At 45.6% G+C, this 25,462-nt stretch overlaps 1 protein-coding gene across 1 annotated transcript in view, besides 4 other annotated features; it reads left to right on the top strand.

Annotated features, from left to right (window-relative positions):
- Positions 4,334-4,553: a silencer, noted in NCBI's record as "silent region_1996". NCBI's record gives its function as "represses an Ori minimal core promoter by ATAC-STARR-seq in GM12878 lymphoblastoid cells {active_cell/tissue: GM12878}" and the evidence as "EXISTENCE:reporter gene assay evidence [ECO:0000049][PMID:35858748]".
- The window catches only part of NID1 (nidogen 1), an 89,261-nt gene continuing 68,392 nt past the window's right edge, over positions 4,594-25,462 (top strand). The window contains exons 1-3 of the mRNA NM_002508.3: positions 4,594-4,829; positions 20,695-20,994; positions 24,001-24,227. Coding sequence (NP_002499.2) covers positions 4,605-4,829; positions 20,695-20,994; positions 24,001-24,227 — 752 coding nt within the window. The 5' untranslated portion in view covers positions 4,594-4,604. The remainder of the gene's footprint in view (positions 4,830-20,694; positions 20,995-24,000; positions 24,228-25,462) is intronic.
- Positions 4,984-5,123: a silencer, noted in NCBI's record as "silent region_1995". NCBI's record gives its function as "represses an Ori minimal core promoter by ATAC-STARR-seq in GM12878 lymphoblastoid cells {active_cell/tissue: GM12878}" and the evidence as "EXISTENCE:reporter gene assay evidence [ECO:0000049][PMID:35858748]".
- Positions 5,464-5,653: an enhancer, noted in NCBI's record as "active region_2812". NCBI's record gives its function as "activates an Ori minimal core promoter by ATAC-STARR-seq in GM12878 lymphoblastoid cells {active_cell/tissue: GM12878}" and the evidence as "EXISTENCE:reporter gene assay evidence [ECO:0000049][PMID:35858748]".
- Positions 10,998-11,535: an enhancer, noted in NCBI's record as "NANOG hESC enhancer chr1:236221449-236221986 (GRCh37/hg19 assembly coordinates)". NCBI's record gives its function as "activates a minimal SCP1, AML or CMV promoter by ChIP-STARR-seq in naive H9 embryonic stem cells {active_cell/tissue: H9 hESC(naive)}" and the evidence as "EXISTENCE:reporter gene assay evidence [ECO:0000049][PMID:30033119]".

Here is a 25,462-nt window from a genome sequence, read left to right as displayed (position 1 = left end):
GCCTGGCTAATTTTTTGTATTTTTTTAGTAGAGGCGGGGTTTCACCGTGTTAGCCAGGATGATCTCGATCACATGACCTCGTGATCCGCCCGCCTCGGCCTCCCAAAGTGCTGGGATTACAGGCTTGAGCCACCGCCCCCGGCCAAGGGTGTCATTTTTATCTGAGATCACAATTGAGTGTGGGTTGTTTAAAATACTCATGAATTGGCCGGGCTCGGTGGCTCACGACTGTAATTGCAGCACTTTGGGAGGCCGAGGTGGGCGGATCACGAGGTCAGGATATCAAGACCATCCTGGCTAACATGGTGAAACCCCGTCTCTACTAAAAATACAAAAAAAAAAAAAAAAAAAAAAAAAAAAAATTGGCCGGGCGTGGTGGCGGGCGCCTGTAGTCCCAGCTACTCGGTAGGCTGAGGCAGGAGAATGGCGTGAACCCAGGAGGCGGAGTTTGCAGTGAGCCGAGATCGCGCCAGTGCACTCCACGCTGGGCAACAGAGCGAGACTCCGTCTCAAATAAAATTAAAAAAAAAATTCATGAATTAGGCGAATTCCCTGGAATTGGAACACTAATACATTCACATCTATATGACATCTGGAAAATAAAAGAAAGCTCCATGGCCATACATGGTCAGTTACCAATCCTCACAGGAGAGTGAGATTAGAACAAATGCCTCCTTCAGAGCAATAGCCAATTGAGCTATTTTCCCACTCAGCTGCCTGGACTTTTGTCTGAATCGTCAGAGAGAAGAGTTACCTTGGGGCCGGGTGTGGTGGCTCACAACTGTAATCCCAGCACTTTGGGAGGCTGAGGCAGGAGGATCACCTGAGGTCAGGACTTCGAGACCAGCCTGGCCAACATGATGAAATCCCATCTCTACTAGAAATACAAAAATTAGTCGGGCGTGGTGGCATGCCTGTAATCCCAGCTACTCAGGAGACTGAGGCAGGAGAATCACCTGAAACTGGGAGGTGGAGGTGGCAGTGAGCCGAGATCACGCCACCGCACTCCAGCCTGGGTGACTGAGGGAGACTCCATCTCAAAAATCAAACACACAAAAAAAGAAAAGTTACCGTGGCTTCTTATAGACACACAGCCTGAGACCTGCTTCTTAAATTTTGTGTTTCTGCCTCATCAGGATGACAGCCATCAAGAAAAGAGTATAAATCTCAAAAGAGCAAGGTTTCATTTTTTTTTAAAGCTGGTATATTACAGAATTATGGGTACCATTGGTACTGCAGATATCAGATGATTCTTAAACATATCAGTGAGTTCTTAAATGGTTAAGAACTGTGCACATTATTAATGTGTATGCAGCATTGGGCTAGGCTCTGCGAAGTCAGGAAAACAAATAAAGCACATGGGCCTTGCCCCCAATGAGCTCTTATCCCCGAAAAACATACGAAATGACTAGAGAAAAAGACCGAATTATTATATACACTTAGAAAATGTCCAGAGCACAATATAAAAGTAAGTATTCGATGATGAATGTGTTTGGAACTACTAATTCTAAAGGAGTGACAGGGACACACTGTCCTAGTAGGAGACACAGCATCAATATTACGTCCTACAAGGACTGGGCAATGTGAGGCGAGTGCAGGGCTATAAATAGTAAATGACAGAGAATTTACCGTATATACTGGACTTACTCAGGCCAAGAGATACTGATGAAATAAAGGAGCACAAGCATGCACAGATAGATCGTGAGCATTATGTATAAACAATGGAGCAAATAGATCTTGTGGGTGGAAATAAAGGGAGAAACCTTTCCTTCCATAGATGGGCAGGATGGCGCGGCAGAAAGAATAATAGCTTTGGTGTCGGACAAACTGGATTCAAATCCTAGCTCTTTCACTACCTGTGTAAAACTGGGCAAGTTATCTAATCATTGCAAACCTTGTTTTCACTACATAGGGCTACTAGCTTGTGCAGTTATTAGTATTAAATTGAATGCTACATTAAGCATCTAGCAGAAGCAGCATTCAACAAGCGATATCTCTTGTTGGTTTGTGTATTTCTTAAAGCATCGCACTGTTATTGTTGTGTTTGTCTCCCTGATAGATTGTGAGCTTCTCAAAGAAAGGACTGTGCCTTAACGGTCTTGGCATTTTGAATTTCTAGTATAGAATCTGGCTCATGGTAGATTCTCAGTAAATATTGACATAATAAGAATCACGAAAACTGTACATTTAGGTAACAACGATGGTTTGATATTAACGGAATACTTACTTTGTGCCCAGCTAGGAGCATTTAATGAATCACCTTATCTAATCCTCACGACAATCCTTCGATTTTAACTATGAACATCCCATACAAGTGACAAGGATATTGAAGCTTAGAAACCTGCCCGTGCTTATACAGCCAGTAAATGGAGAGCCTTGACCTCAGCCAGGTTGGATTCAGGCTGTGCTGAACCAGCAAAGTAGAGAACTGCTCTCCTCCTGTAGTTGCTGAGGAAAGTCCCATGGATGGACCAATAGGAGTTTCAGAAGCTGCCTGAGTACCAAAAAGGGAGAGAATTCGTGAGAAGGGTAAGAGCATTCCAGGCACAGACTACAGCTTCAGAGACAGCTCTGATGTGTGACAGAGGCTGGGGTGGGGTTTTTTGAAGGAGGAGTGTTGAAGGCACAGGCCAAAAAAGGCCTACTGAGCTTGGGGTTTCCCTCAACCACAGGGCATGGGGAAGTCGTGGGGCCCGTGTCACGTGCGGGTGAAGATAGAGAAGAATCTCCATACAGAGATCCTGTAGCAGCTGAAACAGGCAGTGCTGGGGCCCAGAAGCCCAGAAATAGTCAGAAACACAGATGGCATAGAGTAGAGTCAGAAGTGCTTCTGGGGAGCAGGCTGGGGGCTCACAGTGCTGTATTGTTGGGAGGGAACTGAAGGAAAAGCACCATATTTGACAACAGACTGCAGGCTGCAGTAAAAGGTAGTAAACAGAGGGCACTTAATGCAGTGGTTATAAGTGGGGTCCTTGCAGCTGGAACACCTAGGGTCACTTACCGGCTCCCAGCTGCATGACCTTAGCAACATGACTTAACCTCTCTGGGCCTCTATGCCCCTTCTCTGTAAAACAGGGAAGGTCTGTTTCCTAGGGTTACTGTGAGTGCAAAATGAATGAATACTTGTAGAACACATGCTGTCTCTGATGGGTAATAAATGTTATTTCTGATGGCGAATGAATTCAAAAGAAAAAGACAAGTTCTCATGAGTAAATCAAAAGTGTTTTGCTTAGAAGGCATGTTTCCTTTGCTTTTTCTTCCTGTCTTTGCTGGTTCAGAACTCATGCCCCCTAAATTTTATACAGAATTTGCTGTTTTCTGAAAAATTATTATAAACTAGGTTCAAGGTCGTTACTTTTAGCTGCTGACAGGAAACGGGGACGTCCTGTTGACCGCTGATAGGTCTGACATCAAACATATCCAACTCCAGCTGTCCCAGATCCTCTTCCCTGACGTCAAAAGGCAGTACTGGTTTTCCAGTCCTCCAAGTGCAAACCCTTGAACTCAATTTTAACTTCGTTTCTTCTCCTCTTCAATGCCAATCTTATAATCAGGATTTGCTCCTTCTTTCATTTCAATGTTTTAGACTTGGTCCTCTAATAACTTACCTGTCTCTACTTTCACCCTAGTGCCAAAGTAACGATCAACCGATTATTCAGGATACCACTTAAATCGCTTATCTCCCTTTGTCAAGAACTTTCAATAGTTTCTTCTCCGAGTGACAGAGCGAATTCAAATTCCTAAATTTGTGATTCAAGGCTGTACTTCAACCGGTCCCTCCCCACATCCTCTGCTGGGGGATGGTGCCCTGAATAAACCCAGCTCGGTCCTCCACCTCCCTTCTCTGCCGCCTGATGACATCCCATTCCTTCCAGAGCACCCGGGTTGATTCCCGCCGTCCCACCTGCAGCTTTCCCCGCCAGTTTTTCCAGCCCTAATGTCTTTGATGACTTGGGGCCCCCATCTGACACTGGCTTGTGTTGTACACTGGTGACTTTGCCTCGGAGGGTGAGACCCCGTTTCCTGGCGAACCTCCACAATAGGGAGCACAGGATCAGGCACTCAAAAAACGCGCAATGAATGGGTGGATGAGCCCATGAACGTGTTGGTGGCTCTGTCCCTTGGCTGATTCCCAGCTCCCACCCCGTCTTCCTACCAGGGTCAAGCGAATTGGACCCCGGACGCGGCCGAGCGGCAATGGGGTGGGCGCCGTTCCTGAATCCGGAGCGTTTCCACGTCGCCGGCTCTCCACGACCCAACCCTAATCAGAGGACCACGGTGCGGGTCCCGCGCTCTGCTCCCCCTCCCGGAGGCGCCGTTCGCTGGGAGTCGGGCTGGTTTCGAGAATCGCAGGCACCGGCGCCCAAGGCGGGAGGTTCGGCTTCGCCCCTCGCCCTCCCCCTCGCGGCCATTGGGCTGCCCCGCGGCGCGCCCGCTGGACGGGGCGGGGCCCTCCGCTCTCCCCTCCGCTCCCCTCCCCTATTTCCCGGGGTGGGAACGCCGGGAGGCGGGAGGAGAGGGGGCTGCCAGGGGCGTCCGGTTACATCCCCGCCTTCCTCTGTCCTGGCCGCGGGACCGGGTTTGCGGGACCGCAGTTCGGGAACATGTTGGCCTCGAGCAGCCGGATCCGGGCTGCGTGGACGCGGGCGCTGCTGCTGCCGCTGCTGCTGGCGGGGCCTGTGGGCTGCCTGAGCCGCCAGGAGCTCTTTCCCTTCGGCCCCGGACAGGGGGACCTGGAGCTGGAGGACGGGGATGACTTCGTCTCTCCTGCCCTGGAGCTGAGTGGGGCGCTCCGCTTCTACGACAGATCCGACATCGACGCAGTCTACGTGAGTGAGCCCCGGGAGGGCGGGCGAGGGGCTGCAGGGCGCGGCGGGCCGGGGGCGCCCGTGGAGCCGGACGGACTTGGGCGTAGCAGGCGGGGACCCGGACCCGCTGGCCGCCGGGGCACCGGGCACGGCGCAGGGTCTCCCGCCTCTGCAGGGTCCGCGAAGGTCTTCCCGACCCGGTCCCTGCTATCCGAAGAGCGGGTCGCGGGGTCTGGGTGGCTCCGCGCGCCCCGGGCCGTGACCCCGGCACCCATGGACCCCGCGGAGCTTCCTCCCCGGCGGCTGTGGGCTGCATCGCCGCAGGGAGGTCAGTCCGCGTCCCTCGGCTGTCCAGTCCCTTCGGGGCTAGGACCTGGCCGGTCCCGGGTGGAGCCAGGTTCTCGCGCGGAGCCTCCGCAGGGCAAGAGCCGGAGCTGGATCGCAGTCTGCGCGCGGGCCCCGGGACTCTTGTGGCTGCGGGAGAGTTTCGCCGGCAGCCTCCTGTATTTGTGTGTGGACTCCGGATGTGTCTTGGCAGTGATGCTGCTTTCCAGTTGGGCTCGTTTCAGAGTCCAGAGTCCAGAGCGGGAAACACAGGGCTCCCAGTGATCCCATTTCCTGTGGCCAGGCATTGTCACCACGGAGGCCCCAAACGAGGAGCGGGACCAGATGACCTACAGCTCCCTGGATCCTCCCCGTGACTGGCCGGGCCTGGGGTCGCTGTCAACTTGTTGAAGTCCTTTCGTGCCGCTGCCTTCCTCGGCCGCCCACCATGTGGATTTCATATAAGGCTTGTGTGCATTCCAGAAGTGTGGGGGGTTGGCCGGGGGAAGGGGGTTGGAACTGCAAACGCAGCGGCTGCAGCCTGTCCTGCCCGTGAAATGGCTGTGCTCCCGGTCTGGCCTGGGAACACTGCGCCTTAGACAACACTCACGTGGAACTTGTAGGCTTTGCCTAAAACGAATGAGCCCTTCAAGTCTGGATCCACAAAGAGCCCTCCCCCATGTTGGTTGACTGCCCTGGCCCCTTTGCACACTGGTGAAGCCTGTGGATCCCTTTTCAGTATAACGCTTTTATTTTAGTTTTTAGAGAGACGAGGTCTTGCTCTGTTGCCCAGGCTGGGTGCAGCGGTGCGATCTTGGGTCACTGCAGCCTCCAACTCCTTGGCTCAAGCTGTCCTCTGGCCTCAGCCTCCTGAGTAGCTGGGACCACAGGCGAGTGTCACCATGCTGGGCAGTATAAAGTTTTAAATGCATAAAATAAAATCCACAAGATGACCAAGGAAGGCAATTATGTTGAAATACAGATCAAAATATTAAAAAAACACACATCTTATGCTCTTATGTACTATATATGCTTATATGCTTACTTTATTTATTTATTTATTTATTTATTTTTTTTTTTGAGACAGAGTCTCTCTCTATCCCCCAGCCTGGAGTTTAGTGGCACAATCTCAGCTCACTGCAACCTCCACCTCCTGGGTTCAAATGATTCTCCTGCCTCAGCCTCCTGAGTAGCTGGGATTACAGATGACTGCCACCACACTTGGCTAATTTTTGTATTTTAAGTAGAGACATGGTTTCACCATGTTGGCCAGGCTAGTCTTGAACTCCTGACCTCAGATGATCTGCCCACCTCAGCTTCCCAAAGTGCTGGGATTACAGGCATGAGCCACCATGCCTGGCCCAATATATGCTTACTTTTTTTTTTTTTTTTTTTTTTGAGATGAAGTCTCACTCTGTTGCACAAGCTGGAGTGCAGTGGCGAGATCTTGGCTCACTGTAACCTCCACCTCCCAGGTTCAAGCGATTTTCCTGCCTCAGCCTCCTGAGTAGGTGGGACTATAGGCACGCACCACCATGCCTGGCTAATTTTTGCATTTTTAGTATAGACGGGATTTCACCATGTTGACCAGGCTGGTCTTGAACTCCTGACCTCGTGATTCACCCACCTCCGCCTCCCAAAGTGCTGGGATTACAGGTGTGGGCCACCACGCCTGGCCTATATGCTTACTTTTAACAACATTAAATAACAAGGTGTAGCAGTGGATCCAAGGGCAGTTCAGGTAACGATTGAACTTTGAAGATCATGAGCAATATTCTGAGACACATGCAGCAACTATGATGTGATATGAAAATATCTGTGACTTCTATTAGTGACTGCTTTGTTGCCTGCATTCATAATTAAAGGAAATGCTAAATATCAGTTTTTGGTTATTCTTTTTTTTTTTTTTTTTTTTTTTGAGACAGAGTCTTGCTCTGTTGCCCAGGCTAGAGTACAGTGGCTCAATCTTAGCTCACCACAACCTCCGCCTCCCAGGTTCAAGAGATTCTCCTGCCTCAGCCTCCCGAGTAGCTGGGATTACAGGCGCGCACCACCATGCCTGGCTAATTTTGTATTTTTAGTAGAGGCGGGGTTTCTCCATGTTGGTCAGGCTGGTCTCTAACTCCTGACCTCAGGTGATCCGCCCGCCTTGGCCTCCCAAAGTGTTGGGATTACAGGCATGAGCCACCATGCCCGGCCATTAGAGATTTCTAAGTAGATGGCTGACACGATTTAACTTTAAAAGATTATCATTCTCTTCAACAAATAAATGGCATGGTGGGGAAAAAGAAGGAGGGAGACCTGGTGTGGATCAAAAGAGACTTCAGAGGCTTGCTGACCAAATGCAAGTGAGGACTTTGTTTCAGCCTGATTAAGACAAATCGGCCATAAAAAGGTGTCTTTGAGACAAACTGCATTTCGAGAAGAGGTATACATGCAAATGTGTAGATATAAGTTTCATTTCTCTTGGGTATATACCTAGGACTGGAATTCCTGGGTCATATGGTAACTCTATGTTTAATATTTTGAGGAACTGTCAAAGTGTTTTCCAAAGCGACAGCACCATCTGACATTCCCACCAACAATATATGAGGGTTCCGATTTCTCGACGTCCTCACCAACATTTCTTATTTCTGACTTTTTGATTTATGGCCATCCCAGTGGGTGTGAAGTGCTGTGTTGTGAATCTGATTTGCATCTCTCTGATGGCTAATGATGTTGAGAATCTTTTCATGTGCTCATTGGCCGTTTGTGTTTCTTCTTTGGAGAAATGCCTGTTCAAATCCTTTGGTCATTAAAAAAAAATCGTGTTTTTTTTTTAATTGTTGAGAAGGGCCTCATCTTTCAACAAGAATACTTCATAAATGAGACCAGCCTGGCCAACATGGTGGAACCTCATCTCTACTAAAAATACGAAAAACAGCCAGGTGTGGTGGCGTGCACCTGTAATCTCAGCTACTCAGGAGGCTGAGGCAGGAGAATCTCTTGAGCCTGGGAGGTGGAGGTTGCAGTAAGCCAAGATCGCGCCATTGCACTCAGCCTGGGAAACAGAGTGAGACTGAGACTTTGTCTCAAAAAAAACAAAAAAAAGAGAAGAATCCTTCATAAACGAAGCTGTATTTTTCACATTGGATAACATTAGCCGGCAAGTGATGTCTGGTTATTGCTTGGCTTGCCACGCTAAGATTAATACCTGGTGTTAAGGAGATTACAGCCAGATCATGCCTGTGAAGTTATATTTTTCCCCAGGTGAGCAGCAACTGAGCTACGGGGTGACACTCATTTTGGCCTTATCATCTATTTCCTGCCCACTAATCTTTCACCTAATGGTTTTAGCATCTATCGATGATCTTTGCCTGAAACAGTAATTAAATTAAAGTTTGCAGGATGATGTTTTATTTTATTTTGCTGGTTGCTTGTTTCTGTCATTCTTTCTGCATTTATTAGCTGGCATATTCTGTAAAGAGGTTTTCCTCATCAACCATGACTTTTGGGTAACACTGATATACTGTTCATTCTGGAAAGGCAGATAAATGCTGAACTCTTCTCCTGTAATTTTTTATGTTTAAGTTAAGGAATTTGTGTAATACAGTACTAGGCTCCAATTGCCACAGGTAAACTTCTGATATCTATATTCAGGTTGTTAAGGAGAAACATGTGTCTCCCCAGAGATTGGGGGTCTCACACCCCAAGGCCCTTGGTGTTGCATCCTCAAGGGCTACTTCTTTGATAGACACACCCGTAGTTAAAATTTAAAGAACCCAACAGATTTTTTTTTTTTTTGCCCAGTCTAATTTAGCCTGGGGGGTTTGTATATCAACTTTAGTGATACTAATGCTAATAAGTTCAGATAACCCACTACCATCGGAAAAGCCCCAACCATTTTTAAATGTTGGAAAGTAATCTCAGGTAGAAATTTTCTGCAGAAGAGAGGGGTAACTGATCCAAAGTCACTTGGACATTAACTGGATTAAGTTGAAAATATTGACTCATCTCTATTACCCTTATGTCAGAGGCATGTGAACTGAGCAATTCCATCTTGAACAGGCGCTGGGTAAAATGAGGCTGAGACCTACTGGACTGCATTCCCTGATGGTTAAGGCATTCTAAGTCAAAGGATGAGATAGGAGGTCAGCACAAGATACAGGTCATGAAGACCTTCCTGATAAAACAGGTTGCAGTAAAGAAGCCGGCCAAACCTATCAAAACCAAGACGGCGATGAGAGTGACCTCTGGTCATCCTCACTACTACACTCTCACCAGCACCATGACACTTTACAAATGCCATGGAAATGTCAGAAAGTTACCCTATATGGTCTAAAAAGGGGAGGCATGAATAATCCACCCCTTGTTTAGCATATCATCAAGAAATAGCCATGAAAATGGGCTACTAGCAGCCCTTGGGGCTGCTCTGTCTATGGAGTAACAATTCTTTTTTTTTTTTTTTTTTTTTGAGACTGAGTCTCACTCTGTCACCAGGCTGGAGTGCAGTGGCACGATGTCGGCTCACTGCAACCTCCACCTCCTGGGTTCAAGCAATTTTCCTACCTCAGCCTCCCAAGTAGCTGGGACTACAGGCACATGCCAACACGCCCAGCTAATTTTTGTATTTTTAGTAGAGACGGGGTTTCACCATGTTGGCCAGGATGGTCTCGATCTCTTGACCTCGTGATCCTCCCATCTCAGCCTCCCAAAGTGCTGGGATTACAGGCGTGAGCCACCACGCCCGGCTGCTGTTCTTTATTCCTTTACTTTCTTAATAAACTTGCTTTCACTTTATGGACTTGCCCTGAATTCTTTCTTGTGCAAGATCCAAGAACCCTTTCTGAGGGTCTGGATCGGGACCCCTTTCCAGTAATCCTTAGATTGTCCCTAAGCTTTATTTACTAATCCTTTTGTTTCTATTTCTATTTCATGCCAGAGTCATTTCTTCTGTGGGGTTAATGGGGATCACTTGCAATTTGGACTTGGAGTTCTGTTCTGGCACTTCTAGTGTTTGATCTTAGGCAAGTTATATAAACTAAAACTCATTTTTTCTCAAATGAAGAATGAAAATGGTATTAATCTTTACTAGGTTTAATGAGATAACTAAAGTAAAAATGCTTTGTAAACTGTAAAGCACCTTGCAAACGGATTAGGCTCCAGGTCCACTTGTGGGCTCTAGGCTGAAATTAATCAGTCTCCACCTTGATTGTGTCCCGGACTTGCCTATTTTCTGGACTTCCTTTTTGTGTTTTACTTTTTTTTGGACTCATTTTGTTTTCCAGCTTTTTGTAGCTACCCAGTCACTAACTTTGAAGCCATCCCAAAAAACATTGCAACTTGCATGACTTTTGCCCCCAGTGTCTCTAAACTAGGCAGCCAAGTGTAACAGAAAGAGCACGGGTTACGGACTCCAGCAAATGTGTGTTCCGTTCTTGGTTCTATCACTTACTGGCTGTGTGACATTAAAGCTAAATTAAAATCTCTCATCATTTCCTTGTCTGTTTCAAGTATGCGAAAAGAGGGATGGTTGTACTAAATGCCTGTCACATGAAATTTTAAAAGATAAAAAGAGCCTTAGTAAAGGACCTCAACATTAGGTGACAGCCCATGTTTGCTGCATTTCCACTCTTTATGTTAAATTATTTTAAGTTCCTGCTGCCTCTCACCCATGGAGTTTGCTTTTGCAAGTCTCACTGTCTTCTCAGTACAGCGATTTGTATTTGTAAAAGGACCCTGTTTGTTTCTTATTTGTTTCTACCTCAAGTATTCTCTAAACACACATGTTTTGGAGAAGGCTCCCCCTAGACTATTGCAGAAAGCAGCCTGTTACTAGGCTCATCTAAGCCCCCGGCCAAGTGGCTGTTGTTTCACTTTTTCAGGGAGTATTTGGACATAAGAAATCTAACATAAATTTTAAATTTATTGAGCATCTGCATATAGACTTTCTCCGGTGATTCATGCTATCTGAAAGTTCACGTTAAAGATGAAATGAGACAGGAAGTGCTTTCTAAGATGGGAAACACCCTCCCATTATAAGTTAGGTGCTCTGTCCATCCCCTTCTTGTCAGTTGGGTTGAAACAATTGTACATAAGTGGTTCCAGCTGTTACCCATGTGGTGCTTGGCATTTTCACCCTGGGTTTTTTTGTGATCTAATTGACATGCTCTGCCCTAGGGCAGCTGGATGAAAAGCCGTATTGTTTGTTGTGTTTCTTGGGGTGAGTGGGAAGACATGGTTCTGTAAAGGGGCATTTAGTTTTACTAGCCACATAGTGAGCTGAAGTTTAACTTTGCTAAAGGAACTTTTTCTCAGTGTGAACTGATGTTGTAAGCAGTATTTCAGGGAAATATTTACATTGCTCAACATGCTGGAAATAGCTGTTTTTCAGTAAACAAGTTTTTACTCCTTAATGCAAATTCACAAAGAACCTCACCTAGGCAATATTTGGTTACCTTAAGTTACCTTAAGATGATAATATTACATTATTATCATCAGCAGCACTCTCAGTGATTCAGATGGGCTTTCTCAGAAATGCATTCACCCCATGAGGGTTTTGCGATATGATCAATACAGCAAGGAACGTGCTGCTGCCATTGGGAGTCAGGATCCCTAAGTGAGGGGTCAAGATGCCAATTGCAAACTTAGAGAGAGGGGCAGACAGAAAGAAACATGTGATAAACCCTGGTTGGGAGGTCAGAAAGCCTTCACAAGGGAAAATAAGACTTTGCCAAGCACATGAGCTGAGAATTATCAAGAAGGTTTTTTGAGGAGGTTTTCTTTTTCTTTTTTTCTTTTCTTTTCTTTTTTTTCCTTTCCTTTCTCTCTCTCTCTTTTTCTTTCTTTCTTTCCGTCTTTCTTTCTTTCCTTCTTTCTTTCAGTCTTACTCTGTTGCCCAGGCTGGAGTGCAGTGGCGAGATTTCGGCTCACTGCACCCTCAGCCTCCTGAGTAGCTGGGATTACAGGTGTGCATGACCACGCCCGGCTAATTTTTGTAATTTTAGTAGAGACAGAGTTTCAGCATGTTGGCCAGGCTGGGCTCAAACTCCCGACCTCAGGTGATCCGCCCGCCTCAGCCTCCCAAAGTGCTGGGATTACAGGTGTGAGCCACCACGCCCAGCTGAGGAGGTTTTCAAGAAGGAGGGAATCATAGATCCAAAAGCATGTAGTGTTAACTAGGAGAGACACCATGGAGAGTTTGGAGAATTAAAAGCAATCTAAAATTTTTTTCTGGCACATTTCTCCTCTAGCCTTTTACTCACCAACATTCATAAAAACTAAAGTGCGATCCCATAATCCATGTACTTTTTTGAGATGGATTCTCTCTCTGTCTCCCAGGCCGGAGTGCAGTGGCACAGTCTCAGCTCACTGCAGGCTCCACCTCCCGGGTTCAAGCGATTCTCCTGCCTCAGCCTCCTGAGTAGCTGGGATTACAGGCACCCACCACCACGCCTGGCTAATTTTTGTATTTTTAGTAGAGACGGGATTTCACCATATTGGTCAGGCTGGCCTCAAACTCCTGACCTCAGGTGATCCACCTGCCTTGGCCTCCCAAAGTGCTGGGATTATAGGCATGAGCCATCGTGTACTTTTTAAACTAGTACAAATGTAGTGAACAGAAAGTGATACTGGTAACTGCCGTGCAATACTTACGCTTCATGTTTTTGTTTTTTTTTTTCCTGGACTCAGGGCACTGTATGGGGTGCCTCAGGCTCTGTAACTTTTGATTAGTTTTAATTACAAAATCTGCTTTTACCAGCACCACCTTCTGCTCATTAATGTGGTCTAATGTGCCCAGTGCAACTAACACTCCTGTGTCCCTGGGAGGGGAGTGGCAGTGGTAGGAAAGTCTGGGGAAGGAAGAAATTCAAAGACCATGAAGGGTGGACGTAGAGAGTGGAATGGTGGTTACCAGAGGCTGGGAAGGGTAGGGTATGGGACGAAAAGAGGTTGGTTAATGGGTACAAACATACAGTTCGATAGAAGGAATAAGTTCTAGTGTTTGGTAGCAGAGTAGAGTGACTATAGTTAACCAATATTGTATATTTCAAAATAGTTAGAAAAGAAGATTTGAAATGTTCCCAATGCAAAGAAAGATAAATGTTTGAGACGGTGAATTTCCTAATTATCCTGATTTGATCATTACACATTGTATGTATGCATGTATCAAAATATATACTCCACGTGTACCCCATAAATATGTACAAATATGATGCATCAATACAAATAAAATAATAAAGTGGGTCTTCACGAACACAAAAAGACAGTGAAGGAGTCCCTCTTCTTAATTTTTGCTTTTGTTGCTTGTGCTTTTGGTGTCATGTCCAAAATGTAATTGTCAAGATCAATATCAAGGAGTTTTTCCTTATTGTTTTCTTCTAGGAGTTTTATAGTTTCAGGTTTTACATTTAATTCTTCAATCCATTGCGAGTTAATTTCTATGAGTGCTATAAAATAGGGGTCCATTTTCATTCTTTTGCAGGAGGATATCCAATTTTCCCAGCACTGTTTATTGGAGAGACTACCTTGTCTCATTGTGTGTTCTTGGTGGCCCTGTCAAACACTAGTTGACCGTAAATGTGTGGGTTCACCTCTAGGCTCTCAGTTCTGTCCCGTTGATCTATCACGGCTATCTGTAATAGCTTTGCTAACCAACTTGATTGTGCTATTCATTTCACAACATATACCTGTATCAAATCGCGTTGTACACCCTAAACTTATACACTTTTGTTTATCAGTTATACCTCAATAAACCTGGAAAAACAAAACCAAATAAAAACAAGGACAATGAGCCACAGGCCCTACTGACAGAGAACGTTAGTCTTGGCTTATCTATTAGAGCCATTTGCCTTTCTTTGCTGAACTTCAGATCAATCAGGTTTGTTGTATGTTTTTTTTTTCTATTTTTATTTTTTGAGATGGAGTCTCACTCTGTTACCCAGGCTGGAGTGCAGTGGCGTGATCTTGACTCACTGCAACCTCCACCCCCCGGATTCAAGTGATTCTCATGCCTCAGCCTCCCCAGTGGCTAGAATTACAGGTGTGATTAGCCACTGCACCAGACCTGTTATATGTTTTTAAAAAATAAACTTTTATTATGAAAAATTTCAAATATACTCAAAAATATAATGAACTCCCATGTATCCATTACCAGCTCCAACAAGTACCAATTTGAGACTAATCTTCTTTCATTGATGTCCTCACTTATTCCTAATGTTCCCTCCCCATCCCCAAACTGAATTATTATTATTATTATTATTATTTTTGAGATGGAGTCTTGCTCTGTCGCCCAGGTTGGAGTGCAGTGGTGTGGTCTTGGCTTACTGCAAGCTCCACCTCCCGGGTTCCCGCCATTCTCCTGCCTCAGCCTCCCGAGTAGCTGGGACTACAGACACCCGCCACCACGCCCGGCTAATTTTTTGTATTTTTAGTAGAGACGGGGTTTCACCGTGTTACCCAGGATGGTCTCGATCTCCTGACCTCGTGATCCACCCACCTCGGCCTCCCAAAGTGCTGGGATTACAGGCGTGAGCCACCGCACGCGGCCCTGAATTATTTTTAAGCAAATCCCAAATATTTTATCGTTTTGTAAATGTTTCAGATGTGCCTCAGAAGAAAAGACTCTTTAGGCCGAGCACAGTGGCTCATACCTGTAATCCCAGCACTTTGGGAGGCTGAGGCGGGCGGATAGCTTGAGCTCAGGAGTTCCAGACTAGCCTGGCCAACATGGTGAAACCCTGTGTCCACTAAAAATATACAAATTAGCCAGATGTGGTGGCACACACCTGTAGTCCCAGCTACTCGGGAGGCTGAGGCAGGAGAATTGCTTGAATCCAGGAGATAGAGGTTGCAGTGAGCCGAGACTGCACCACTGCACTCCAGCCTGGGTGACAGAGCGAGACTCTGTCTCAAAAAAAAAAATTCTTTAAAAAAACAAAATAGTAAAATCATGATCATACTTTAAGAAATGATAATAATTCCTTAATATTGTCCAATATGCAAATGGTTTCATGAAATGTTTTATTTTGCTTTTCAGGTGATTGGTTTAAATCAGGGCCCAGACAAAGCCCACACATTACATTTGGTAGATGTGTCTCTTAGGACTTTTGTTTTGAGATGGAGTTTTGCTCTTGTAGCCCAGTATGGAGTGCAATGACGCAGTCTCGGCTCACTGTAACCTCCACCTCCCAGGTTCAAGCGATTCTCCTGCCTCAGCCTCCCAAGTAGCTGGGATTACAGGCACCTGCTACCTCACCCAGCTAATTTTTGTATTTTTAGTAGACACAGGGTTTCACCATGTTGGCCGGGCTGCTCTCAAACTCCTGACCACAGGTGATCTGCCAGCCTTTGCCTCCCAAAATACTGGGATTATAGGAGCAAGCCACCTCGCCTAGCCATCTCTTAGAATTTTTAAAATCTATAGGTCCTCCCCTAACCCCAGCTCTTTTTTTTCTTTAAAATTTATTTGTTCAAGAAACTAGATATTTCTCCATTTTAGTGCTTTATATTCTGGATTTTGCTGATTGCATCCCATTGTGTCCATTAGCATGTTCTTCTGTCTCCTGTATTTCCTGTAAACTGGCAGTTAGATCTGGAGACATGACTGAATTCAAGTTATGCACTTTTTATTTATTTTATTTTAGTAATTGGCATTTTACTCCAGTGGCAAGAACGGCAGTAATGCACAGTTCTCTGACCCTTCATATCACTTACAACTGAGCTCACCCTCAGGCCTTATTTCTAAAATAACCTGGGTGCACAGGTCTTATCCTGCTTTGAACCTGCCTGTCCCCTATATTGGAGGAAGTCAGGAAGTGGGGAGACTCATATGTATCAGACCATGTGTAAGCTCTGGAACTACTGTGGTGACCAAGACAAATGGAGTCCCTGACCGTGAAGAAATGACCACATAGTGGGGAGAGAAGCCAGAACCTACAAATAGGCAGGAAGAAGACATATCAGGGGCTGGGGGTGTGAGGGAAGGGAAAAAAGAGTGAGTGGAAGGAGCTTCCACTGGAGGGGATGCCAGGAAGCTCTCTGAGAAGGCACTGTTTCAGCTGAGGAATAAGGATAAGAAGGGACAGTCATGTGACTAACGAGGTGGTGGGGTTGGGCGGGGGCGTGCTGTTGGTAGCTGAGATGGAGAAAGTGCCATATACAGTAGCTTCTCACTTAACATTGTGGATAGGTTCTTGGATACTGTGGCTTCAAGCTAAACATGCATAACTAAACCGATTTGACTGTCGGGTAATTGACAGAAACAACATTTAAGTTCCTATGGCTTATTTCTGGTCAGAAACACATCACCAAACTTCCCATGAAGCCCAAAACACTTCTAGTATTAAACATTGAAATAAATAAATGTGAGCTCTACATACATTTAAGATGAATAAAAACAACCAAGATATTATTTACCCAATTTTTGATGAATCAGTGAATAATGGAGGTCATGATGGTAGTGGGTTCAATCAGGGAAGAAATGTTTGCAAAGCAACATTGTCAACACTTCTGACCCACGAAGTTCAAAAACAAACAATCACAAATCCGGCAGCTTGCCGAGTACTTTTGTTGGTGTATAATTCATTGGTGCATAATTTATTGGTGTGATTACTCGTACTTGATACATTTTCATTCTGTGATCATTTGTATTCATTCATTCATTCATTCATTCATTTTCCAGCTGCTTATTCCAGTTCAGAGAGGAGGGTGGCCAGAGCCCATCCCAGCAGCTCAGTGTGCCAGGCAGGAGCCACCCTGGACAGGTTGCTGTCCTATCACAAGGGGGCTCCCACACACCCACACTCACTCACAGTCGGACAGTTTAGACATGCCAGTTCACCCGACTTTGGCATAGCTTTGGGATGTGGAAGGAAACCAGAGTACTCAGAGAAAAGCCATGCAGACATGGGGAGAACACGGACACCCCACACAGACGGTGGCTCCAGCAGGGAATAGATTTTTTTTTTCTCATCAACGTTATAACAAAACAACGTTGAATGCAATGAAGTTATTTGAGGACCTGCTGTAGTTGGAGACAGGACATGCAGCGTGGGTGGTGAGAAAGAGGAAGGAACCAGGACCCACTTCCAGGTTTCCTGGCTTCACCAACTGAGCGAATATTGGTGATGGCCTGGGCATCAGTGGTCACATGGGCCCGAGGACTCCCCGGCCCAGTGCCCTTGGGGATTGTGCCTGAGTCTGTGCCTCCTCCTGCCTGAGTGCCTGTGTCCTTTCCCTTTTTGCTCCCTGCCCTTCTGCTGTTGAATTGTCCAATGGTACTTTCAAAAGATGGAGAAAAGGAACAAGGCTGATAGGAGCATCGTGCATTTGACAGACTTTGCAAAATGAGACTTGCACCCAAGTGGACGGGAATATTTTTCATCAACTTTGCTATTAACTGTTACTTCCAGGAAAATGAAGTTTACAAGGGAGAAGTTTAAAGCTAAGAATCCAGTGAAACTTCTGGCTGTTCTGCACATTACATTTATCTTTGAAGTCATCCTTCTTCATTATCACAGACGATCGAGCTGAATGTTCAGTAAAATTAGCTGAAAAATAATTTTCCAATGCAAATACTAATGAGGGTTATATGACCGTTGTCCAAAGCATTTGCAGTGCTGCATGACATTTGTCCTAAAACCTGACTCTTAAAACATTCCTTGTGAAAATAGAAATATTCCCATGCCTAGATTCCAAATAATAAAAGACACTGAGAGTGTTTTCAAAATTAATGGACTGATTTAAATTTCACTGGAAAGCAGCTTTTTAAAACTAAATTGTCTGGATGTGGCCTCCCTGTGATCACTTCCAACTGCTTACTGCCAACTTCTGGCGGCTCGAGAGAGTGAGCCGTTTCCCACGCTCCCACACGGCAGCTCCCTGGGATGCTTGTGCTGGGAGATGTTTGGGTCCCTGGAAGGGAGACAGAGGGACCGGCTGGAAGAAGCCCCGTGTCTGACTCCCTTCTCCACAGCCTGCCAGTATCTTCTAGAAAAGCCTTGCTGGTGCCGGGTGATGATGGAAAATATGTCACCCAAAGAGTTAATAGCCCATAACATGTGGTTAAAAGAGAAAGTTTTGTTAAGTCTGCATTTCACTCCCAGAGCCCTGGTTCCAATCCTCACCTGGGTGCCAATCGGTTCTGCACATTGAACCTTTTTATTAATAGCAAGTTTTTGGCATGTTTAGAGTTTGGTCTTTAGTTCCTCTCTTTTTTTCTGCCCCTGCACTCTCCTCTAGTAATGAAGTGTGAAGTGACTGAGGGATAAGACTCTGGGAGGAGGAGGAGGGAGGGGAGGGGGAGGGGCAGGGGGAGGGGGAGGGAAATAAGTGGCCTGGAAAATCCACTGGCCTTCTAACAACTGAGGGTTGCTATTCTGGATTCGTGTTTTTCCAATCTGCAGCCCTTAAAGAGCAAAATAAAGTGCCATTTGCAAAATCTCTCCCTTTTGATTAGGGAATCTTCTTCTTTCTCTCTTTTTTTTTCGAGACACTCTTGCTCTGTTGCCTAGGCTGGAGTGCATCATCAGTGCAATCTCGGCTCACTGCAGCCTCTGCCTCTTGGGCTCAAGCAATTCTCCTGCCTCAGTCTCCCAAGTAGCTGGGACTGCAGGCACTTGCCACCATGCCCAGCTAATTTTTTTTTTGTATTTTTAGTAGAGACGGGGTTTTGCCATATGGGCCAGGCTGGTCTCGAACTCCTGGCCTCAAATGATCCACCCACCTCCGCTTCCCAAAGTGTTGGGATTACAGGCGTGAGCCTCTGCACCCAGCTAGGGGATTTTTTTCTTTCAATTCACAGATTATCTAAGGAAAACTATCACTGGCTTGGTCTTCCATGTCATCAGTGGATTGTGCACTAACAAGAAAGTGAGAGGGTGTTAGACTTCACTGGTGAGCCTGAGTGCCCCCACTCCAAGGGGCTGTTTGCCACAGTATCTCAGGGGCCCTCTTCCCATTTTCTCAAGGAGCATGGGTTTTAGCTGAGTAAGAACAGTGATATCTTTTTTTTTTTTTTGAAATGGAATTTCTCTCTTGTTGCCCAGGCTGGAGTGCAATGTGCAGTCTTGGCTCACTGCAATCCCCACCTCCCAGGCTCAAGCGATTCTCCTGCCTCAGCCTCCTGAGTAGCTGGGATTATAGGCGTGCACCACCATGTCCGGCTAATTTTGTATTTTTATTAGAGACAGGGTTTCACCATGTTGGTCAGGCTGGTCTCGAACTCCTGACCTCAGGTGATCCACCCGCCTCAGCCTCCCAAAATGCTGGGATTACAGGCGTGAGCCACCACACCTGGCCAGTGATATCTTTTAATAAGCAGTTATAACTGATTTCAAGAAGGCAATTCATGAAGTAATTAAAAGGACTGATTTTGGAAAAGGACCAATTTTGGAGTCGGACTCCGTGGGTTCAAATCCCAGTGTTGCCACTTATTCCTTGGTAACTTTGGACACATTGATGAATTTGCCTAATTTTCCCCATCAGAAAAATATAGATATTAGTAGTACTTAGTCTTTTTTTTTTTTTTTTCCCCTGAGATGAAGTCTTGCTCTGTTGCCCAGGCTGGAATGCAGTGGTGCAATCTTGGCTCATTGCAACCTCCGCTTCCTGGGTTCAAGTGATTCTCCTGCCTCAGCCGCCCGAGTAGCTGGGATTTGGTGCCCGCCATCACGCCCGGCTAATTTTTGAATTTTTAGTAGAGATGGTGTTTCACCATGTTGGCCAGGCTGGTCTTAAACTCCTGACCTCGCGATCTGCCCACCTCGGCCTCCCAAAGTGCTGAGATTACAGGTGTGAGCCACCACGCCCGGCCAGTAGTACCTAGTCTTAAGAGGTTCTTCTGAGCATTAGACATTAGTAAAAATGCCTGGAATATGGTGAGTATTCAGTAAATATTAGCTATTATCCTGACACATTAAACTTTAAAATAATTAGTGATACCATAATGCCCCATACAGATTTGCTTCTTGATGCTATATTGTGTCATCATCTCTTTGTGTCAGTCCTTTCCCTTATCCTTCTGGATTGTGGATTTCTTAAAAGGTGGGGGCTGGACCTTAACCATTTTTCTTTTCTTTCTTTTTCTTTTTTGAGACAAGGGTTCACCCTGTCACCCAGGCTGGAGTGCACTGGCGTGATCATGGCTCACTGCAGCTTTGACCTCCCGGGGCTTAAGCCATCCTCCCAGCTCAGCCTCCCAAGTAGCTGGAACTACAGGCCCGAGCTACCAAGCCTGGCTAATTTTTGGTATTTTTGTGTAGAGATGGGATCTCACTTTGATGCCCAGGCTCCTAACCATGTTTGTACGCACACCAATTAGCAGTCCTGGTAGGGAGTGATTACTCCCTTTTTCGAGTAAATTCACTAGGATTTGAATAATGACTCCTGTTCTCTTTCCACACAGCCCATTTTGCCTAGAAATGAATGCTGGGGTATGCGGTTCAGGCTCGTATCTTTCTCAGATTCTGTTGTATTCTACACAGCATGGGTACAGCTGACAGTATTCTAGGAGTGGGTGCTCAGTCTTACTGAGAAAGGACCCGTTTCTGCATTCCTTTTAACCACACTTGGTTTTGTACAGGTCACCACAAATGGCATCATTGCTACGAGTGAACCCCCGGCCAAAGAATCCCATCCCGGGCTCTTCCCACCAACATTCGGTGCAGTCGCCCCTTTCCTGGCGGACTTGGACACGACCGATGGCCTGGGGAAGGTTTATTATCGAGAAGACTTATCCCCCTCCATCACTCAGCGAGCAGCAGAGTGTGTCCACAGAGGGTTCCCGGAGATCTCTTTCCAGCCTAGTAGCGCGGTGGTTGTCACTTGGGAATCCGTGGCCCCCTACCAAGGGCCCAGCAGGGACCCAGACCAGAAAGGCAAGGTAAGCTCCCCTCCAGGTCCAAGTGCAGGTAATCAGACACATTGGCTTCATACACTTTGGTCTCACGCCTTGTGCTGCTTTGACATAAGTTATACACCATTGATAAAGACAGGAAATCCAAAGCAAAATCTAGTAGGCTGGTTATTGCAGGTCCCAAACCTCCAAAAGCTTATCTGCAAGGTTGTATAACTCTACGTTTTAATGACAAGTAGACATAAAGCAAAGCAATTCCTGGTAAGACTGCTATGTGGCAAAAATAGGGTTGATAAATGGCATCCCCTGGCTGCTCTTACCTCAGGTGGCAGATAGTGGAAGGATAATTTATTTATTTATTTATTTATTTTTCTTTTTTTTTGAGATGGAGTCTCGCTCTGTCGCCCAGGCTGGAGTGCAGTGGCACGATCTTGGCTCACTGCAAGCTTCGCCTCCCCGGTTCACACCATTCTCCTGTCTCAGCCTCCCGAGTAGCTGGGACTACAGGCGACCACCACCACGCCCGGCTGGTTTTTTTTGTATTTTTAGTAGAGACAGGGTTTCACCATGTTAGCCAGGATGGTCTCTATCTCTTGATCTCGTGATCCACCCTTCTCAGCCTCCCAAAGTGCTGGGATTACAGGCGTGAGCCACCATGCCCGGCCTTTTTTTTTTTTTTTTTTTTTTTTTTGAGATGGAGTCTTGCTCTGTTGCCCAGGCTGGAGTACAGTGGCACAATCTCAGCTCTCTGCAGCCTCCACCTCCCAGGTTCAAGCAATTATTGTGCCTCAGCCTCCCGAGTAGCTGGGATTACAGGCATGGGCCACCACACTGGCTAATTTTTGTATTTTTAGTAGAGATGGGGTTTCACCACATTGGCCAGGCTGGTCTCCAACTGCTGACCTCAAATGATCCACCCACCTCAGCCTCCCAAAGTGCTGGGATTACAGGTGTGTGCCACCGAGCCCGGCTGGAAGGATAGTTTCTGACTAGAGAAATTATTAATATGAAACGATAGGTTAAAATAACAAAGTACTCCTGAGGGATGCAAAGATAGAAAGGTAAAGCCCAGACTCTAGTTGGGGAGACAAGAATCATTTGGACCATGTGAGTGGTTCAAAACCCAAGTATTGTCATAACCCAGGGTTGGCCTCTCCGTGGGCGCAGTCATCAGGGACGGCTGGAAGGACCAGGCTGTAGAGCACGGACTTGCCCTTGAAGGAAGCAGGGTCTTTGAGTAGGTCAGGAACTCGTTGTTAGACCTGAAGTGACTTTTTAGGACAGGCCTCGATTTTCCCTTGGAAAAATAATTTCTCTCTACCATAACTTCACCTTTATAGGAAAATGAGGAAGAAAGAAACTTGAAGGGTCCCAAAGCACTTCATATAAATGGGAGGTATTTCAGGCTGGTGGTTCCTAAAGTGTGTACCACAAAACACCAGTCCTACAAGATACACCTTGAGGAAAAGGCCTTCTAGTTTGGGAAATGCTAAAACTATATCTCCCTCTTGGTGATTCACCCTGTTCACTCTGAAAAGTCCTGCAGTCAGGAAACTTGCAACTTGCCTAATACTACTTTTTTTGTTTTTGTTTTTGTTTTTGTTTTGAGACAGAGTCTTGCTCTGTCACCCAGGCTGGAGTGCAGTGGTGCCATCTTGGCTCATTGCAATCTCCACCTCCTGGGTTCAAGTGATTCTCCTGCCTCAGCCTCCCAGGTAGCTGGGACTAAGGGCGTGAGCCACCATTCCAGCCTTGCCGAATATTGTTTAACTGAGCAGTCTCCAAACCTGTGACCATACCTCTTCCCTTCCCCCGCTCCAAAAAAGATGCATTACATCCCACAGAGCACACTTTGGGAAAGTCTGTTAGGGGCCTGCATGACACATTTTGCTTGCCAACTGTTATCTGTCTGAGTGCCAAACTTGAAAACAGCTTAAATGTTAAGTGTCTCAGCTGCCTCCCTTTCACTTGGGTGATAAATGCCTAACCCATTGGTATGGATCCCTTGCTTGCCTCTTGGGCCTAATCTGTTCCACCTCCGCATACCCTTTGCAGCCGCTATACCAAATTACATGTAATTCCCTGACCTTGCCCTTGCTCTTTTTTTTTTATCCGCAGTATCTTGCACAGGCTGTCCTCTCTGTTTGGGACGTCCTCTCCCTGACCCCCCTACAGGTGGCAGCTTCCTCCTGCTTGTTCATTCAGACTGGGCCCTCCCGTGAGGCCTTGACCAACCACAGCCTCCTGGCATGGGATGCACTCCCACCGCTCCTGGCATGGGACGCTTCCTCTTACGGCTCCTGCAGCGCTTTGCAAATGTTTCGATTACAGAATCCAACCTCAGGTTTTGCAATGTTTTCTTCACATGTCAGCCTTCCCAAAGTGCTGGGATTACAGGCATGAGCCACCGCGCCCGGCATGTGCCTGCTCTTTCATACGTGACCTCATGTAGTCTTCCTCATTTCTGTGAAGGAGGTGGTTTTATCTCCATTTTACAGATGCAAACATCGAGGCTTAGGGAACTCAAGTATCACGCCCAAGTCACATAATAATGAGTAGAGCAAAGATTTGGATCCAGGTCTGTTTTCTCCCAAATCTCATGTTTTGTTTTGTTTTTTCTACTGTACGGTGCTTGGGTTCAATAAATGTTTGTTAAACGATGAATGCGGTTGAATATGTTAACAGCCATGGAAACAAAGTCTTTGGGTAAGAATTTCCTAAACTGCGTGAGATTTTAGGCCACCATCTGGAGGTACCATCTGTATAATTTTTGGTTAACCTTAGGGCCACAGTTATGCAGAAGATATTTATGAATTAATCAGAAAATGTCATGTTGACATAGCCTTAGGGATATTTCAGTGGAACTATCCCAGAATCCTAGGTTCTTGCTACAAAAGTCCTTCTTTTAGAATAAGGTGAGAATATTGCCATCGCTCTATAGCACTGTACGCTTTATAGATAGTCTGGCGAATAACACATTTTAAAATCTATCGATATTTTTCCGAGTAACTGAATTTTAACTCATCTTCACAGAGAAACACGTTCCAGGCTGTTCTAGCCTCCTCTGATTCCAGCTCCTATGCCATTTTCCTTTATCCTGAGGATGGTCTGCAGTTCCATACGACATTCTCAAAGAAGGAAAACAACCAAGTTCCTGCCGTGGTTGCATTCAGTCAAGGTTCAGTGGGATTCTTATGGAAGAGCAACGGAGCTTATAACATATTTGCTAATGACAGGGAATCAGTTGAAAATTTGGCCAAGTATGCTTTCTTTGTTCTTCAGTAGATTCTCCTCTTAATATTTTTTAATGTGGATAATGTAATGTGTATTATAGATCATTACCTAAAAATGTTCCTATGGATTTAAGTTTTGCATATAGTTTTTATATTATGAGATACTCTTTTTCTGATGAACTTAAGGAAATGTATTTTTAGAATGAACAGATATCCTATTTTTTAGATATCATCCTCATTTAAAATAGTTCTTTTTTTTTTTTTTTTTTTTTTTTTTGAGACAGAGCCTTACTCTGTTGCCCAAGCTGGAAGGCTGGAGTGCAATGGCACAATCTCGACTCACTGCAACCTCTGCCTCCCAGGTTCAAGTGATTCTCTCGCCTCAGCTTCCCAAGTAGCTGGGATTACAGGTGTGTGCCACCATGCCCAGCTAATTCTTGTATTTTTAGTAGAGACGGGGTTTCACCATGTTGGCCAGGCTGGTCTTGAACTCCTGCCCTCGGGTGATCTGCCCACCTCAGCCTCCCAAAGTGCTGGGATTACAGGCATGAAGTGCCGCGCCCGGCCTTAAGACAGTTTTTACCATTTTGTCTATAAACACTGTTAGAAATAAGGGTTATTCAAACCTATCTCCTTTGATCTCAAGGCTGAGAAAACCTTTTCCTTCACATTGACTAGGGGGAATATTCTTACAACAGAAATGGTGCTCTCAGGTTATGTTGTAGAATTTGACAAAAGAGGGAAAAGCCCAAATTGGATTTTGAAGATTAAAACCTTTCCTCTCCCATTATTCTTTAAAAACCAAGAGTGAATCCCCTAAAACCACCTTTTAATTTTATATCTTCAAATCTAGCTTGAATTCCTCTGCCCTTCACTTAGTGATGTGCTGGTAAATGCTTAACAACTGGTTTTATGAGGGCAGAGGAACCTGATTTATAGCGTTTGCCTGTTTCTGTGATGTAAATACTCCTACGATGGCCAAGTTCAAGTTATTAACGTCATGTCACTCATTGAAGAGTTCAGAAAACATGCACCATTATATATATTCTCACCATAAAGATAAAATAGGTTTAATATATATAATTTCAAGAGCATGGACAGTAGCAAAAGGATTAGAATATGATGAGTTTTGAATATTTTTTCCTTTTAAAAAATATAACTTGTTTAATTGGAAGTTCATGTAATTTAATTGTTTAGAATGGCTGTGTTTAATAACTGGCTTGCAAAATTCCTAAAACTTTAACAGCCAGCTCTCACAAGCT

The sequence above is a fragment of the Homo sapiens genome, chromosome 1 (assembly GCF_000001405.40).
Source record: "Homo sapiens chromosome 1, GRCh38.p14 Primary Assembly".
NCBI classification, from domain to species: Eukaryota; Metazoa; Chordata; class Mammalia; order Primates; family Hominidae; genus Homo; species Homo sapiens.
This window is presented reverse-complemented; position numbering and strand designations above follow the sequence as displayed.